Source organism: Homo sapiens, chromosome 10 (assembly GCF_000001405.40).
Source record: "Homo sapiens chromosome 10, GRCh38.p14 Primary Assembly".
Taxonomy (NCBI): Eukaryota; Metazoa; Chordata; class Mammalia; order Primates; family Hominidae; genus Homo; species Homo sapiens.
In genome coordinates, this window is record NC_000010.11 from 28,435,596 (window position 1) to 28,453,744 (window position 18,149).

At 42.5% G+C, this 18,149-nt stretch overlaps 2 long non-coding RNA genes and 2 pseudogenes across 2 annotated transcripts in view, besides 1 other annotated feature; 2 read left to right on the forward strand and 2 right to left on the reverse strand.

The window, feature by feature from the left end:
* Positions 1 to 18,149, reverse strand: part of LINC02652 (long intergenic non-protein coding RNA 2652) — a 62,806-nt gene that overhangs the window by 2,588 nt on the left and 42,069 nt on the right. Inside the window, exon 2 of the long non-coding RNA NR_134496.1 lies at positions 547 to 626. This is a non-coding gene — a long non-coding RNA (long intergenic non-protein coding RNA 2652). The remainder of the gene's footprint in view (positions 1 to 546; positions 627 to 18,149) is intronic.
* Positions 531 to 1,556, forward strand: RPSAP10 (ribosomal protein SA pseudogene 10; annotated as a pseudogene).
* Positions 5,567 to 6,778, forward strand: LOC107984216 (uncharacterized). Its single transcript, XR_001747401.2, has 3 exons — positions 5,567 to 5,659; positions 5,860 to 6,037; positions 6,563 to 6,778. It is a non-coding gene; the product is annotated as an uncharacterized LOC107984216 (long non-coding RNA).
* On the reverse strand, positions 6,980 to 7,301 carry RN7SKP39 (RN7SK pseudogene 39; annotated as a pseudogene).
* Positions 9,194 to 9,414: a silencer, noted in NCBI's record as "fragment chr10:28733718-28733938 (GRCh37/hg19 assembly coordinates)". NCBI's record gives its function as "represses an EF-1alpha promoter that drives an FKBP-Casp9 reporter gene in an ReSE screen in K562 erythroleukemia cells {active_cell/tissue: K562}" and the evidence as "EXISTENCE:reporter gene assay evidence [ECO:0000049][PMID:32094911]".

The following is an 18,149-nucleotide window of genomic DNA, read 5'->3' on the forward strand; positions in this document are numbered from 1 at the left end:
GTGGCACGCGCCTGTAATCCCAGCTACTCTGGAGGCTAAGGCACAAGAATCGCTTGAACTCGGGAGGCAGAGGTTGCAGTGAGCTGAAATCATGTCACTGCACTTCAGCCAGGGTGACAGAGTGAGATTCCATCTCAATAAAAAGAAAAAAATGTAGAGAGATAGTATAATCTCATAAAAACTGTCTATGTGTCAATATATAACCTGTTACATTATTAGAAGTGGTTTCCAGCTGGGTGTGATGGCTCACGTCTATAATCCCAACACTTTGGGAGGCCAAGGCGGGTGGATCATTTGACGTCAGGAGCTCCAGACCAGCCTGCCCAACATGGTGAGACTCTGTCTTTACTAAAAATACAAAAATTAGCCAGGCGTGATGACAGGTGCCTGTAATCCCAGCTACTCGGGAGGCCAAGGCAGGAGAATCACTTGAATCCGGGAGATGGAAGTTGCAGATCCATCACTCCACTCCAGCCTGGGCAACAAGGTGAGACTCTTTAAAAATAAATAAATAAATAAGTGGTTTCCTCTTTCCATGCTACTCACAGAGGGGTCCATATGGCGTTTTCTGGATTCCCATCGCAACTTAAAGGGAAAATTTCTCAATGTCTGGAGCCCTTGATGTCCTGCAAATGAAGGAGGAGGATGTCCTTAAGTTATGCAGCAGAAATCCACTTAGGTAGCACCAACCTTGACTTCCAAATGGAACAGTACATCTACGAAAGGAAAAGTGATGGCATCTACATCCTAAATCTGAAAGGACCTGGGAGAAGCTTCTGCTGCAGCTCACGCCATTGTTGCCACTGAAAACCCTGCTGATGTCAGCGTCATAACCTCCAGGAATACTGGCCAGAGGACTGTGCTGAAGTTTGCTGCTGCCACTGGAGTCAGAGCAATTGCTGGCCACTTCACTCCTGGAAACTTTACTAACCAGATCCAGGGAGCCTTCCGGGAGCCACGGCTTCTTGTGGTTACTGTCCCCAGGGTTGACCAACAGCCTCTCACAGAGGCATCTTATGTTAACTTTCCCACCATTGCTCTGTGTCACACAGCTTCTCCTCTGCGCTGTGTGAACATTGCCATCCCATGCAACAACACGGAAGCTCGCTCAGTGGGTTTGATGCAGTTGCTGCCCCGGGAAGTTCTGCACATGTGTGGTACCATTTCCCACGAACACCCGTGGGAGGTCATGCCTGATCTCTACTTCTACAGGGATCCTGAAGAGACTGAAAAAGAAGAGCAGGCTGCTGCTGAAAAGCCTGTGACCAAGCAGGAATTTCAGGGTGAACAGACTGCTCCAGCTCCTGAGTTGACTGCTACTCAGCCTGAGGTTGCAGACTGGTCTGACGGCGTGCGGGTGCCCTCTGTGCCTATTCAGCTGTTCCCTACTGAAGACTGGAGCGCTCAGCCTGCCGTGGAAGACTGGTCTGCAGCTCTCACTGCTCAAGCCACTGAATGGGTAGGGGCAACCACTGAATGGTCTTAAGCTGCTCTTGTACCGGCTATTAAGCAACATGGAAACAACGTTGATGGAAAATAAACATCAGTTCCTAAAAAAAATTTTAAAAAACACACAAAAAACAGAAGAGGTGGTTTCCCCTGGGAAGAGAGATTGATAGAGAAGAAGAGAAGCATGTTCACTTTTTACCACATGCAAGAATATGTATTTTTAACTCATTACAAGCATAAATACCTTATATAAAGACTTCTTAAATTTTTTGTACAGAAAGGGTCTCATTCCATTGCCCAGGCTGGGGTGCAGTGGCACGATCATAGCTCATTGCAGCCTCAAACTCCTCGGCTCAAGTGATTCTCCTGCCTCAGCTTCCCAAATAGCTGGGACTACAGGCATGTGCTACCACGCACAGCTAATTTAAAAAAAAAATTTTTTTTTAGCCAGGTGCAGTGGCTCACGCCTGTAATCCCAGCACCTTGGGAAGCTGAGGTAGGCGGATTGCTTGAGCTCAGGAGTTCAAGGCCAGCCTGGGTAACATGACAAAACCCCATCGCTACTAAAAATACAGAAATTAGCTGGGCGTGGTGGCACATGCCTGTAATCCCAGCTACTCCGGAGGCTGAGGCAGGAGAATCGCTTGAACCCAAGAGGCAGAGGTTGCAGTGAGCAGAGATTGCACCACTGCACTCCGGCCTGGGCAACAGAATGAGACTCAATCTCAAAAAAAAAGTTTATTTTCACTCAACATTTTCCGATTTTCACTCCAATCTGGTTTTCTTTTGCCTTAGCACCCGAGTCAACATGATGAATGGGCATCCACTGTGTACCAGGTACTGTGTGCAGTGCTTTTCGTACCTTTTGTTCCTTAATTCTCCCAACAACCCTGCAAATAGGTGCTATAATCCTCATATTCCCACTGAAAGAACAGATTTGGAGAAGTTAAAAACTAGCTTCAGGTCGTGCCACTTGTAAGTGACAGAGCTGGAGCTTGACTCTGTGTCTGTCAAGCTCCAAAGTCTACATCCTTTCCAATAATCCACACTTCCTCCAAACATGTATTTATATTTCTCATGTCTGTATCATCTCCATCCGGATCTTTTCATAGTAAATGCTTAGAATTTAGAGAGCAATGAAGTCTGGTATACAAATGTTGCTCTAATTTCATTGCCTTTTCCTCGATTTGTGTTTAGCGTTCAAACAACAAGCTGTGAAGTTTTCCAAACATGTGGATTTCCCTAATATAAAGACCACATTTATTCTGTTCCAGTAAAAAGAGCATTTATGTTACAGGATGACCAGAGATAGCCAAAAGAAGAGGCGGGAGGGGTGCTGAAATCTCAGTTGCCTGAGTGGTGCCTGATGTTCCTGAAACCTTCGCTTTGGTCAGCCTTCCATTTCTTTAGAATGTGAAGTATTTTTAACCTGCTGGTGGAATTCTGTTCATCTCACGAAATGAAGATTCATCACACTCTTAGCTAGGATGTGATAATAAAAGCAGAAGAAAGACCGAATGTGGTGGTTCATGCAGGTAATCTCAGCACTTTGGGAGGCCAAAGCAGGAGGATCACTTGAGCCCAGGAGACACGAGACTGGGCAACATAGTGAGACTCTGTTTCTTAAAAAAAAATTAGCTGGGCTTGGTAGCACATGTCTGTAGTTCCATCTACTATGGAGGCTGAAGTGGGAGGATCACTTGAGCCCAGGAGACACGAGACTGGGCAACATAGTGAGACTCTGTTTCTTAAAAAAAAATTAGCTGGGCTTGGTAGCACATGTCTGTAGTTCCATCTACTATGGAGGCTGAAGTGGGAGGATCACTTGAGCCCAGGAGTTGGAGACTGCTAGCTATGATCGTGCCACTGCAGTCCAGCCTGGGTGACAGAGCAAGACTCGGTCTCTTAAATAAATAAACAAGTAAATCAAAGGAGAAGAAAAGAACTCTTCTGATGCTGACAGCACTGGAATACTCCCACGGCTAGATTTGCCTGAGTTTAGCCAAGAAAACTGATATATTTCCCAAATTTAATAAGAGTATAGAGACATGCTTGTTGGAAAGCAATAAAGTCTTTAAGAGACTTTAACAATGCAAAACTCTCTGTGAGATCTTCCTACTTTCTCTTACCTTTTTTTTTTTTTTCCTTGAGATGGGATCTCACTCTGTCATCCAGGCTGGAGCGCAGTGGCATGATCTCAGCTCACTGCAACCTCCAACTCCCAGGCTCAAGCAATTCTCCCAATTCGGCCTCCCAAGTAGTTGGGACTACTGGTGTGTACCACCACGCCCAGATTTTTTTTGTATTTTTGGTAGAGAAGGGGTTTCACCACGTCGCCCAGGCTGGCCTTAAGCTCCTGAGCTCAAGTGAACTCCTAGGCCTCCCAAAGTCTTGGAATTATAGGTGTGAGCAAGCATGCCAGGCCCCTACCCTACTTTTCTTTCTTTCTTTCTTTCTTGCTTGCTTGCTTGCTTGCTTTTCTTTGAGACAGAGTCTCACTCTGTCATCTAGGCTGGAGTGCAGTGGCACGATCTCGGCTCACTGCAGCCTTGACCTCCCAGGCTCAAGCGATCCTCCCACCTCAGCCTACGAAGTAGCTGGAACCACAGGCACGTGCTACCACTCGCAGCCAATTTTTATTTATTTTTACTTTTTGTAGAGATGAGGTCTCCATCTTACTATGTTGCCCAGGCTGGTCTCCAACTCCTGGGTTCAAATGATCCTCCCACCCCACCTCAGCCTCCTAAAGTGCTGGGATTACAGGTATAAGCCACTATGCCTAGCCTGATCTTCCTATTTTTCAAGTTCTAGATTAAACACCCAGCATAATTCAACAAAAGCAAAAGAAACAAGATTGTGGCCAGGCGCGGTGGCTCACGCCTGTAATCCCAGCACTTTGGGAGGCTGAGGCGGGCGGATCACGAGGTCAGGAGATCGAGACCACGGTGAAACCCCGTCTCTACTAAAAATACAAAAATTAGCTGGGCATGGTGGCGGGCGCCTGTAGTCCCAGCTACTCGAGAGGCTGAGGCAGGAGAATGGCGTGAACCCGGGAAGCAGAACTTGCAGTGAGCCGAGATAGCACCACTGCACTCCACCCTGGGTGACAGAGCTAGACTCCGTCTCAAAAAAAAAAAAAAAAAGAAACAAGATTGCTCATTCAACAGAAACAAGGATTGTTGCTTGCCACTTTAGGATTATTGAAGTACTGGTGGATCCCCAAGTCTCTGCTTGGGATATGAGTTTGACCGAGAACTCCCAGTAATAATGAGTGAAGAGACTGGATCTTTTTTTTTTTAATTGCAAGACAACATTTTTCTCTATATTTTACTTAAAAATAACTTCTATTGCTTTTGCTGTTGTTAATCTCTAAGTGATGCATGTGTACTGGGAAGAGGCTGAAAAACATTGAATAGAATAAAGACAAATAAAAAATCACACTTATTATTACTACTTACAAATGACCACTTGATAGTTTGATGTCACCTTCCTAGGTCAATGTGTATGTGAATATATTTTTAGGTTCTTGGCTTGCTTTTTAAAAGTGGGATTATGCTGAATCTACTATTTTCTAGTAGGCTTTTTCGCTTAACAGCTTGTTTTGAGTATTTTCTTATGTTATTAAGTAACCTTCTCTAATATTAAAATAATGAATCAGTGGAGGAAATGAAGAAATAAATGTTTAATATTAACCATAAGGCTCATGTTAACTGAGCTACATCCCATTTCACCAGCTTCAAGTACAAGATGAAGTCAAATATCTCTTGTTTTTTGGTTTTTTGTTTTGTTTTGTTTTTTTGAGACAGAGTCTCTCACTCTGTCACCCAGGCTGGAGGGCAGTGGCACAATCTTGGCTCACTGCAACCTCCGCCTCCCGGGTTCAAGCGATTCTCCTGCCTCAGTCTCCTGAGTAGATGGGATAACAGGCGCGCACCAGTATGCCTGGCTAATTTTTGTATTTTTAGTAGAGATGGGGTTTCACTATGTTGGCCAGGCTGGTCTCGAACTCCTGACCTCAAGTGATCTATCCACCTCGGCCTCCCAAAGTGCTGGGATTACAGGCATGAGCCATTGTGCCTGGCCATCAAATATCTCTTAATAGTCAAATCAAGCTTCTCTGAAACCTCATCTTGCCAGTCGAGTAATTTTTTTCTCCTCTTCAAGGGTCTTCTCTCTCATTATAACTTGAAGAACCCCAAGAATGCTTCAGGTAAGAGATGAGTCTGGGCTACCACTGCCTCAGGTGAAAAACAGCCAAACGCTCTGCATGAGCTAGGGATTGCCAGCTGCTGTAACAATTAACCCCCCATACAACACAAGGTTATTTCTTACTTGCTTAAGAGTTCAAACCTGTGCTCCCTGTTGGGTGGGGAAAGTGATGGGGAGCAGCTCTGATTTTGGTCTCTCTAGACACTGGCATCCAGCCAGCAGAAGAGGGAAATGCCTGGAGGATCCTCATGTGAGATCCTCGTGGGACTTCCACCATATCCTATTGGCAGGAGTCACTCCCACGGCCATACCTCATTGCCAGGTAGGCTGGGAAATGTGATATGACTCTGTGCCCAGGAAGAAGAGAATGTGAATTTTGGTAAGTACTATTTCTATTTCTATTTCTGCCACCTTCTACTCTTTTGGCACCAAATGCAGACAGTCCTTACTTATAATTTTTCAACTAATTATTTTTTGACTTTATGATGGTGCAAAAGCAACATGAATTCAGTAGAAACAGTACTTCAGGTATTCACACAGCCATTCTGTTGTTCATTTTCCATACAGTACTCAATAAATTACATAAGATATTTAACACTTTCATATAAAATCAGCTTTGCGTTAGATGATTTTGTCCAACTGCGGACAAACATAAGTGCTCTGAGCATGTTTAAGGTAGGCTAGGCTGAGCTATGATTTCAGTAGATTAGTTCTATTCGATGCATTTTCAACTTGCGATGTTTTCCACTCACAGTGGGTTTATTGGGATGTAGCCCCATCATAAGTGGAGGAGCATCTGTTCTTGTTTGCAGCTTTCTTCCTACAGCAGAGAACACACCCATTCCTCTACTGCCTGCAGCTCATACTCCAGAACCTTGCTCTGATTCACAGTTCTCATCCTCAGGTTTGGAAAGAGACCTTTGCAGTCCAGTGATCTATGAACTACAATTTAAGTCATCGCTCCTCCCTCCTTTCCCAAGCACTGGGCACAAAAGTAAAACACAGTGCCAGACCTTGAGGGATCCAAAAACACATCTCAATGTTCAATCATCATGGAAGAATGAAAATTGTTCTACTAAACCATGTGCCAGGCTGAGCGGGAGCTCCAGGGAGGAAAAACAAGTGCCTGAGAAGGTCAGAGAAGATTCTCATTGGAGTTAAGCTTGAAAACTGAATTGGGGTTTTCCAGGAGGCCACAAGGCCAAAGGATTTTCCACTCTCAATAAACACTCTGTAGAAAGTAGTAACAGCTAATTACAGACAACTTTAATCTCTCTCTTGCCAATTTCCAGAACTCAAGTTTTAAGTAGTGAGTGAACATAAATTATCTTTTTGACAGGCAGGCTGCTCCTGCATCTGCTTTGGTTCTGTCTGGAATCTTGGAAGCTTTCCTTACTACACTCTTCCACACAGTTGCCTCTAGAGTTTACTAGAATGTTCTAGCAAGAGGCACAGACACTTACGCACCCTGGACTGAAGAAATGTGCTCCTCTGTCTGGGAAGGCAGCCTGCTCCGCCAGTGGGCCGTTCAAGGAAGGAGGCATGTGCAGCAGTGACTTGGATAGGATGCTACCCAGATGGGCAGAATCTACCCTGGCCATCAATGGGGTGATCAGCGTTGCAGCCACATCACCCTTCCATCCAGCATTCTTCTTTGGCTTTAGGTGTCTTCACTCTTAATAGCACAAAAGTTGAGGAGGTGTCTCTTCCAGAATAGAGTGAAAACTGCCTGTTGTTTGCCCCAGTGTGGTGGCTCACACCTATAATCCCAATACTCTGTGAGGCCAAGGAGGGAGGATCACTTGAGCTCAGGAGTTCCAGACTAGCCTGGGCAACATAGCAAGACCCCACCTCTACAAAAAAAAAATTTTTTTTTAATCTAGGTATGATGGTGCATGCTTGTAGTCCCAGCTACTTGGGAGGCTAAGACAGGAAGATCACTTGAGCCCAGAATTTTGAGGGGACAGGGAGCCATGATCTTGCCACTGTACTCCAACTAACCTGGGTGACACAGTGAGACCTTGTCTCAAAAAAAAAAAAAAAAAGCCTGTTGTTTGGTAAGGCCTGTGTGTGTCTCACATTGAGTTGCCTACAGCTCTCAATGCAAGACTTTCACCCATATCTCTGCCCTTAATCCTGCTACAGCAGGGAGAATGGCTTTTTTGAAAGAAAGAAGAACCTGCAGATGGAGGACAGTGGGCACTCTTTGCCAGAAATACATTTTTCACCCAAACATTCTCTCTTGCTAGTGTAGGCTGAAGTTTGACTTCCAAGCTTTCACTTGTGAATGCTGTAAACGCACATTACTTCACAAATGTCTATGTATTTTTTAGCAGAAAGAGGAGAAACTGGAGGGTTAGCGTTTACCCAGCAATACCTAAGTATTTTATTCATCTTTCAATGATTCTGGATAAAAATTTTTTTAAGAGACAGGGCCTTACTCTATCACCCAGGCTGGAGTGCAGTGGCACAATCATGGCTTACTGCAGCCTTGAATTCCTGGAGGGCTCAAGTGATCCCTCTGCCTCAGCCTTCTGAGTAGCTGAAACCACAGGCACGCCACCATACCTGGCTAATTATTTATTTATTTATTTATTTATTTATTTTTAAGAGATGAGGTCTTGCTATGTTGTCCAGGCTGATCTTGAACTTCTGGCCTCAAGTGATTCTCCTTCCTTGACCCCCCAAGGTGCTGAGGTTACAGGTGTGAGCCACTGCGTCCAGCCTAGAATCTGGATAAATTCTTATAAGGAAATAAATGAGATGAAATCAGGATCATTTGGGTACAAAGAACAGAGACTAAGGTATTTTGGGAAAAGAAGGACTTAATGAAAGGCCACTGATCACAGGAGCACAAAAAAAAAAAAAATGTTCTCAGGCAGGGCAGGGACAAGGGCTTCTTTTCTCTTCCCTTATCTTCCAAAATCAGTGTTTCCGCATTCCAGGTTTTCAGAAGAGGAAATGGATTGGCCCAATTCACTTTTCCCACCAGGGCACCAGATTTTAGGTGTCAGGCCAGCCAGTGGGTGGCCTATCCTGACAAGTCTCCTCCCCTAGATACTTAGCTGTGGCCAGGGGCATGGGATCCGGATGGCCCCTGCCCCAGAAGGAGAATGGGTGAGGGAACTACCGCAAAAAGTATCTAATACATTATGAGACTTAGGTCAGCAATTAAGAGTTGCATTCTGGACCTGCACTCGCTGCTTCCAGTGTTGGCTCCAGCCCTTACTAGCTGTGTGACCTTGCCCAGGTTACCTAACCTCTCTTTTTTTCAGTTTCTTTTCTTAAGATGGGGCAAATAAATGGTACCTTCTCACAGGATTGTGATAAAGATTAAATGAGACAAGGGGCCGGTGGCTCATGCCCAGAACTTTGGGAGGCCAAAGTGGGCAGATCACCTGGGGCCAGGAGTTCAAGACCAGCCTGGCCAACATGGCAAAACCCCGTCTCTACTAAAAATACAAAAAAATTAGCCGGGTGTGGTGGTGTACGGCAAGTAGTCCCAGCTACTTGGGAGGCTGAGGCAGGAGAATCGCTTGCACCCGGGAGGCAAAGGCTGCAGTGAGGAGAGATCGCGCCATTGCACTCCAGCCTGGGCAACAAGAGCAAAACTCTGTCTCAAAAAATAATAATAATGAAATAAATAAATAAATGAGACAAGGTATTAAAAGCACTCAAAACTATAAATAGCACACAGTGAGTATTCAGTAAGTATTGCTGTTATGTTTTGCCAAAAAACAAGCAGCTCTTCCTCAGTTTTCTGTTAGTGGTGTCATCATTCTCCCATATATAAAAAGTAAAGTCAGCCAGGCGCAGTGTCTCACGCCTGTAATCCCAGGACTTTGGGAAGTCAAGGCGGGCGGATCACCTGAAGTCAGGAGTTCAAGACCAGCCTGACCAACATGGAGAAACCCCGTCTCTACTAAAAATACAAAAATTAGCCAGGCGTTGTGGCGCATGTCTGTAATCCCAGCTACTCAGGAGGCTGAGGCAGGAGAATCGCTTGAACCCAGGGGGCGGAGGTTGTAGTGAGCCAAGATCGCGCCATTGCACTCCAGGCTGGGCAACAAGACTGAAACTCTGTCTCAAAAAAAAAAAGTAAAGTCACCTGTTGACCATTATGTCCTGTTCACTCTTTCTTTGCTAAGCCTTTTACTTTATTCACTGATTCACTTATTTATCCGATTTACAGTTTTGAGCATCCATTTGCTACATAAAAGAATTTTTTTTTCCTTTCCGACTTTGCAGGCATCTCTCTAACTTAAGCCCTTAATACCTCCCACTTGGACTGTTAGAGTTAGCTTCCGCACTGGTCTCCCTGGCTCCTGCATACCATGGCCAGATTAATGTCACTAACACACATTCTGATCATGTCATTCACTTGCTCAATGGTTTTCCATGCTTCCCTATTGTTTGTGGTATAAAGTTCACATTTTGAAACTCGACATTCAAAACATTCTGCAGTTTGGATCCGATCTGCCATGGCAGTTCATTCCCACGGCTTCACCATCTAGCGACCACACTCTGGTTGACTGCACTGTTCTTGTTTCTCTCCGCATGGCAGCTCCTCTGATGTTTTCCCACCTCTGCCTTTGTTCCTGTTGTTCCACCAACCTGAAATGCCTGACCAGTCATATCAGCATCACATGAGAGCTTCTTAGAAACGGCACGGCCAAAACCTACTGCATCAGAACCTGCATTTTAACAAGATCCTTGGATGGTTCATATACATGTATTTTTCTTTCCTTTTTTTTTTCTAAGATGGAGTCTTGCTGTGTCGCCCAGGCTGGAGTGCAGTGGCATGATCTCGGCTTGCTGCAACCTCTGCCACTTGGGTTCATGCAATTCTCCTGCCTCAGCCTCCCGAGTAGCTGAGATTACAGGCATGCACCCCCACACTTGACTAATTTTTTTTGAGACAGAGTCTCACTCTGTCACCCAGGCTGGAGTGCAGTGGTGCAATCTCGGCTCACTGCAACCTCTACCTTCTGGGTTCAAGTGATTCTCCTGGCTCAGCCTCCCCAGTAGCTGGGACTACAGGTGTACTGGTGTGCAGCACCACGCCCTGGTAACTTTTTTTTTTCTTTAGTAGAGACAGGATTTCACCATGTTGGCCAGGCTGGTCTTGAACTCCTGATCTCAAGTGATCCATCAGCCTCGGCCTCCCAAAGTACTGAGATTACAGGCATGAGTCACTGTGCCCAGCCATATACATGTATTTTTCTTATATTTTACAAGATAAAAATATCTTTTTTTTAAGGGATGAGGTCTCACTATGTTGCCAAGGCTGGTCTTGAACTCCTGGCTTCAAGCAGTCCTCCTGCTTCAGCCTCCCAAAGTGCTGGGATTATAGGTGCAAGCCACCGCACCCAGCCTAGATAAAATATCTTTTAATTTATGTATCTTGCATATCATGAGTTAACCCATTCCATCCCTCTCCCTGTTAAAATTCTACCCTTGCCTCAAGGCCTAGCTCAAACAAGAATGCCTCATCCAGATGTCCCTGACAACTAGAGACAGAAATAATCTCTTTGTTCTCTGAATTCCCATAGTTGCTTTCTGAATTCTCTGGATTTCCCACAGCTGAATTCTTTACACCTGTTTCTGGTAATCATCATCAGACATATGTTCTCTCTTACTAGACTCAGTTTCCTTGAGTACAGGACTTTCCATAAAAAATACCCAATAAATATCCAGAAATAGATCATACGGTTCAAAATACAAAAGAAAGGCTGGGCACCATGGCTCACGTCGGTAATCCCAGCACTTTGGGAGGCCAAGGCAGGAGAATTGCTTGAGGCCAGGAGTTCAAGACCAGCCTGACCAACATGGCAAAACCCCATCTCTACTAAAAATACATAAATTAGCTGGGTGCAGTGGTGCACACCTGTAATCCCAGCTACTTGGGAGACTGAGGCACAAGAATTGCTTAAACCCAGGAGGTGGAGGCTGCAGTGAGCTGAAATAATGCCACCGAACTCCAGCCTGGGTGACAGTAAGACTCTGTCTCAAAAAAACAAAACAACACAAAACAAAACAAAAACAAGAAAAAAGAAAGAATAATGTCATTTTGCTGGTCAATTAGAAAAGATGACATAGGAGGTGACATTTTATCGATCAGCCACTCTAATTCAGGGTTCAAGGCTGATGAAATTTTTTTTCAGAGACTGCAAATATGTTGAAATCTGAAAAAAATATATTGGCTACAAGATACGACAATTAAATTAAAATTAATAAATATTGAAAACCATAACATCCCGTTTCTTTATTGCTAGAGATAGGACAAAAAATCAAAGATATGACAATAATATTAAAAATTAATAAATGTTGAAAACCATAACATCCCGAATTTCTTTCTTTCTTTTTTGAAATGGAGTTTCTCTGTCACACAGGCTGGAATGCAGTGGTGCGATCTCGGCTACTTGCAACCTCTGCTTCCTGGGTTCAAATGTTTCTCCTGCCTCAGCCTCCAAATAGCTGAGACTATGAGTGCGTGCCACCATGCCCGGCTAATTTTTGTATTTTGTTGTTGTTGTTAGTAGAGACGGGGTTTCACCATGTTGGCCAGGCTGGTCTCGAACTCCTGAGCTCAAGTGATCTGCCCGCCTCGTCCTCCCAAAGTGCTGGGATTACAGGCATGAGCCACTGCACCTGGCCCTGAACTTCTTAATTGCTAAATTTAGGATTCAGAATAATCACATTATCTTAAATGCAATTTTTGTAGATCTTTTTGCTTTGCAAGGATTCTCAAGCATACACAATGATTCTCCAGAAATCTGCATAGTAAGAAAAAAAAAAAAAAACAAGTGCAGATAATGGCAAGCACCACCTCACTCTAATATATGAGATGGGCTAAGGCTTCCAAAAGATTGTCTCAGCTTATGAAGACCTAGAAATGTCCCTGTACATAAGTGCACCCAGCCCGTGCTGATGGGAGCATAAATTGCTGCAAACACCCTAGAAGCAATTTGTAAGTGGGCACGTGGGCATTAAAAATGTTAAAACCTAGTACTTTAGGCATTAAAAATGTTGATCCTAGTACTTTAGGAGGCTGAGCCAGGATAATCAGTTGAGCCCAGAGCTCAAGACCAGCATTGGCAACATAGCAAGACACTATCTCTACAAAAAATTTAGAAATTAGCCTAATGTGGTGGTGTGTGCCTGTAGTCCCAGCTATTCGGGAGGCTGAGGCAGGAGGATCACTTGAACCTGGGAGTTGGAGGCTGCAGTGAGCCATGATTCTGTCACTGCACTCCAGCCTGAGCAATAAAGCCAGACCCTGTCTCTAAAAAAATAGAAAAAAATTGTTACGACCTTTTGACCCAATGATACTACTCCCAATACTTAATGTTCTGGAAAAGGTCATGTGTCCTCAGCATTTAGTAATTCTCTATCTTTCTTTTTTGCATACTAGTCTGTATATTTTTCAAATTTCTTACACAGTAAGCATGCATTTTATAGCAAGAATGCTTACAAGAAAAAAAATTAACTATTTAAAAAGAAGTCAATTGCCCGGGCACGGTGGCTCACGCCTGTAATCCCAGCACTTTGGGAGGCTGAGGCAGGTGGATCGCTTGAGGTCAGGAGTTCAAGACCAGCCTGGCCAACATGGTGAAATCCCGACTCTACTAAAAATACAAAAATTAGCCAGGCGTGGTGGTGCCCACCCGTAATCCCAGCTACTAGAGAGGCTGAGACAGGAGAATCACTTGAACCCGGGAGGCAGAGGTTGCAGTAAGCCCAGATGGCACCACCGCACCTCAGCCTGGGTGACAGAGGGAGACTCCGGTTCAAAACAATTAAGTATAAATAAATAAATAAATGTCGATTAAGAGGAAGAGGAAATAAGAGGAAGGTACAAAGAGGCAAGAAGGCCAATTCCATGCAGTGGCCTCGATGCTTTAGCTTTCCTTTGTCTCCCAATCTGCTCTGACCCATGATGCAGGCATTTCCCTTGATCCACACCCCAAACCACAGGCCAACCTTTCTGTCCTAGCACACGGTCCCAGCTCCCAAAGAACCCTAATCACTCCAACTGCGTGAGTGTTTAATCTTCCCAACATTTAATGTTTCCAACAATCCGAAACGGTGGGCACGATTTTTCTGCTTCTCTAAATGTGAAAACATACTCAAAGAGGTTAAATCATGTTCCCAAACACCACACAGCAAGGAAATGGCAGAGCTGGAGTATGGATAATTTATTGTCTACTTTAACAATGGGTCCTTTTTCAATTACCCCAAGCTGCCTTTGGTCCGTGCTTTATAGTGGACACTCATTGTCTTATTGTCCAAGTTCAACATTCTCACCTCCTTTCCATTTCAGATCTTTTTATCAGAGAGCATCTTTCCTCTCTCCTCCCAATAGGACCAGATAGATGTAAAAACACAGACCAATTTAACATATGGAGTCATTTTATCTCTGAAAAAAATCTCAATTTGGAAGCCAGTCATAGTGGGGAAGGGATAATGTTAGTATTTCACCTTCCTATCATACATTGGTTTAATATTTTTATTCTGATATCAATGTACCACTGTCTGGGTGTCTGTTTTAAACTACAGACATCTCTAAAGCAGAGACTGATTCTACATAATTCTCTTTATATTCTACTTAGCAAAACAAGGTGGTCAGTTAAATATTTAAAATTGTTTTGCATAATGAAAATGTTGACATGCAAATAAGTAAGAAAAATCTGTCTTATATTGGGAGGTAATTATGCTTAAAACATAAAATAATCACACATTGGATTAGAAGACAGAAGGAATCACAAAAATATCTGTTTGAACAATCTACTTTAATCTGAAAAAAGATTTCACTCTCCAGGGAACAGAGTGTGATGAGAATGGCCAGAAGGCTCATTTTGAGCTTTTGATCAGTTCTCTCTGCAAGTGCAGCCAGGGAAGAGATTTCCAGACTGTATGGAGTGCTGTATTTACCAGCTTTGGAAAACCGAGGAATATATGCCATTTTTTAAATCAAAGAAATGTGGAAGGCTCATTCATGAAAACAAAGAATTTAGGATCTGGAAATGAACATTTAAAAAAATTTGTATTCAACCCATTTTACAACATGGAATGAATTAGCTCCATTCTAGCAGAACTATGTATACATGTAGTTATTCAACAAAACAGTCTGCTTTTTAAAAAACATTCACATTTTACACAAAGAATAATTCAGAAATGGGCAAGAAGATGTATATTTAGCCTATACTGAAATATCATAGAGAAATAAAACTTATACCTGTTTTGAAAACTGTGGTTTGATACTACATAGCTCACCCTGTCAGTGTAAAATTGGCTTTTTGAACTCAAAAGCACAAAGTGCTCTAGGTTGAAAGTGGAGCCGGGCAAGGTGGCTCATGCCTATAATCCCAGCATTTTGGGAGGCCGAGGCGGGCAGATCACCTGAGGTTGGGAGTTCGAGACCAGCTTGGCCAACATGGTGAAACACCGTCTCTACTAAAAATACAAAAAAATTAGCTGGGTGTGGTGGTACACATCTGTAATCCCAGCTACTTGGGAGACTGAGGCATGAGAATCACTTGGAGCTGGGAGGCAGAGGTTGCAGTGAGGGGAGATCGCACCACTGCACTCTAGCCTGTGTGACAGAGCAAGACTCGGACTCAAAAAAAAAAAATGCAGACAGTCGTGCACCATATAATGTTTCAGTCAATGATGGACCACATGATGATTGTCCCTCAAGATTATAATACCTTATTTTTGTGTACCTTTTCTATGTTTGGATATATTTAGATACAAAAATGCTTACCATTGCGTTACAAATGCCTACAGTATTCAGTAAAGCAACAGGCTGTACAGATCTGCAGCCTAGGAACAAGGGGCTGTACCACATAGCCTAAGTTTGTAGTAGGCTCTACCATCTAGGTTCGCATAAGTACACTCTATAATGTTCACACAATGATGAAGTCGCCTAAGGATGCATTTCTCAGAACATATCTCTGTCTTTAAGAGATGCATGATGGTACACACTTTCTTCAGTCAGTTCAAATAGGTAATATTTATGCAGCAATAGCAAGAAAATGGAACTTGATCTCAAAAGATGTGACTCAATTTGAGTTAGCCACACTCCAAATGTTAAATAAAAACTTCCGTTCACAATTTCGCTCTTTGTGTTTAAAATATAACTATCGCAAAATATCACTAAGCTGAATACAGTAAAAAAAATAATAAACCGGCCAATAGTTTTTAATGAAGGTAGGCTAGGGAGGGGTAAGCAAAAACTCTGGGCTCTCTGATGGACAGTGCAAACTTTTTTGGCTTTGCTTATTTTTGTTTTAGAGTTATTACTCCTACTTTATTCTTCTTTTCCAAAATTATTTTAGTTGTTCTAGTTCCTTTGACTTTGCATGTAAGTTTTAGAATACTCTTGTCTATATCTATAAAAATGCTTACTACAATTTTGACTGTCATTGGGTTAAACCCATAGATCAATTTGGAAAAGAATTGAGACCTTCCTCTAAGAACTCAATATATATCTCTTCATTTAATTTATATCTTCAGTTAATTTCATCATCATTTTATAGTTTTCAGCATATACATGTTTTATTAAATTTATACCTAATCACCTCATTTTTTGAGCAATTGTAAATAGTATTCTATTTTTAATTTCAGTTTATACATACTTGTTGCTAGTATAAGGGAGTAAATGTTTTTTTGTCTATTAATCTTATATCTTATGACCATGTGTGAATGGCCCACCAGTTCTGCATCCTCAAGAGCATTTGGTGTTGTCTCTGCTTTTTTCTTTTCTTTTTTTTTCTTTTTCCTTCTTTTCACAGGTGTTGATGATCTTTATTTTTTATCTATACTTTATTCTTTTCACAGGTGTTGATATATCTTTGTGGTTTTCTCTTTTTTTTCCAACAGATTGGCCGAATGAGTGTTTCTTAATGTGTTAATAAACACATGATACAAGATCGACCCTCTTAACTTTCTAAGTATATAGATACTATAGTATAATATTGTTAGTATAATATAGTTAACTAATAGGTTGGTGCAAAAGTAATTGCAGCATCAATGGCAAAAACCACAATTACTTTTGCACCAATATAATATAACTATAATAACCATAGTTATTACAGATTATAGTTAGTATAGTATTATAGTTAGTATAGTATTATAGTTAACAATAGCATAGCATAGCATAGTTAACTGTAAGCACATTGTTGCACAACAGATTTCTAGGATTTTTTCATCTTGCATGACTGAAACTCTAAACCCATTGAATAGCAATATCCCATTTCCTTCTTCCTGAAACTCCTGGCAACCCCCATTCTCCTTTCTCCTTCTATGAGACTGAATATTGTAGATACCTCATATAAAGAGAATCATGCAACATTTGTCCTATGGTTAGCTTATGTCACTTAGCACAATATCTATAAGTTTTACTCATGTGGTTGTGTATGGCAGGATTTCTTTCTTTTTTAAGGCTGAATAATATGTCTTTGTATATGTATACCATGTATATGTCCATTTTGTATGTATGTACATTTTGTTTATCCATTCATCCATTAGGTTGTTTCTACCTCTTGGCTATTGTGAATAAGCTGCAATGAAGATTCATTGTAAATCTTGAATTGAAAACAGAATCTTCTTCAATCTTCTTCACAAAAATAAGCTGCAATGAAGAATATTCTGATTTCGATTCTTTTTTTGTTTGTTTGTTTTTTGAGACAGAGTCTCGCTCTGTCGCCCAGGCTGGAATGCAGTGGCACGGTCCTGGCTCACTGCAAGCTCTGCCTCCTGGGTTCACGCCATTCTCCTGCCTCAGCCTCCCGAGTAGCTGGGACTACAGGTGCCTGCCATCACTCCTGGCTTATTTTTTGTATTTTTAGTAGAGACGGGGTTTCACCGTGTTAGCCAAGATGGTCTTGATCTCCTGACCTTGTGATCCGCCCGCCTCGGCCTCCCAAAGTGCTGGGATTACAGACGTGAGCCACCATGCCCAGCCTCTGATTTCAATTCTTTTGGTTATATACCCAAAAGTGGGATTGCTGGATCATAGGTAGCTCTATTCTTAATTTATTACAGAATCTCCATACTGTTTATCATAGCAGCTGCATCATTTTACATTCCCACCAATAATGCAAAGGGTTGCAGTTTCTCTGCATTCTCACCAACACTTATTTTCTGTGTGTTTGTGTGTGTGTGTGTGTGTGTGTGTTTATTTTATAATGGCCCTTCTAACAGATGTGAGGTGATAGCTCATTGTGGTTTTGATTTGCATTTCGTTGATGATTAGTGATTAGCATCTTTTTATATATCTGTTGGCCGTTTGAGCATCTTCTTTGGGAAAATGTCTATTCAAATCTTTTGTCCGTTTTAAAATCAGATTATTTATTATTTTTTGTAGGGGGTCCTTATATACTTTGGGTATTAACCCCACATGAAATTTATGGTTTACAGATATTTTCTCCCATTCTGTAGGTTGCCTTTTCACTCTATAATTGTTTCTTTTGAGCACACAGCTTTTT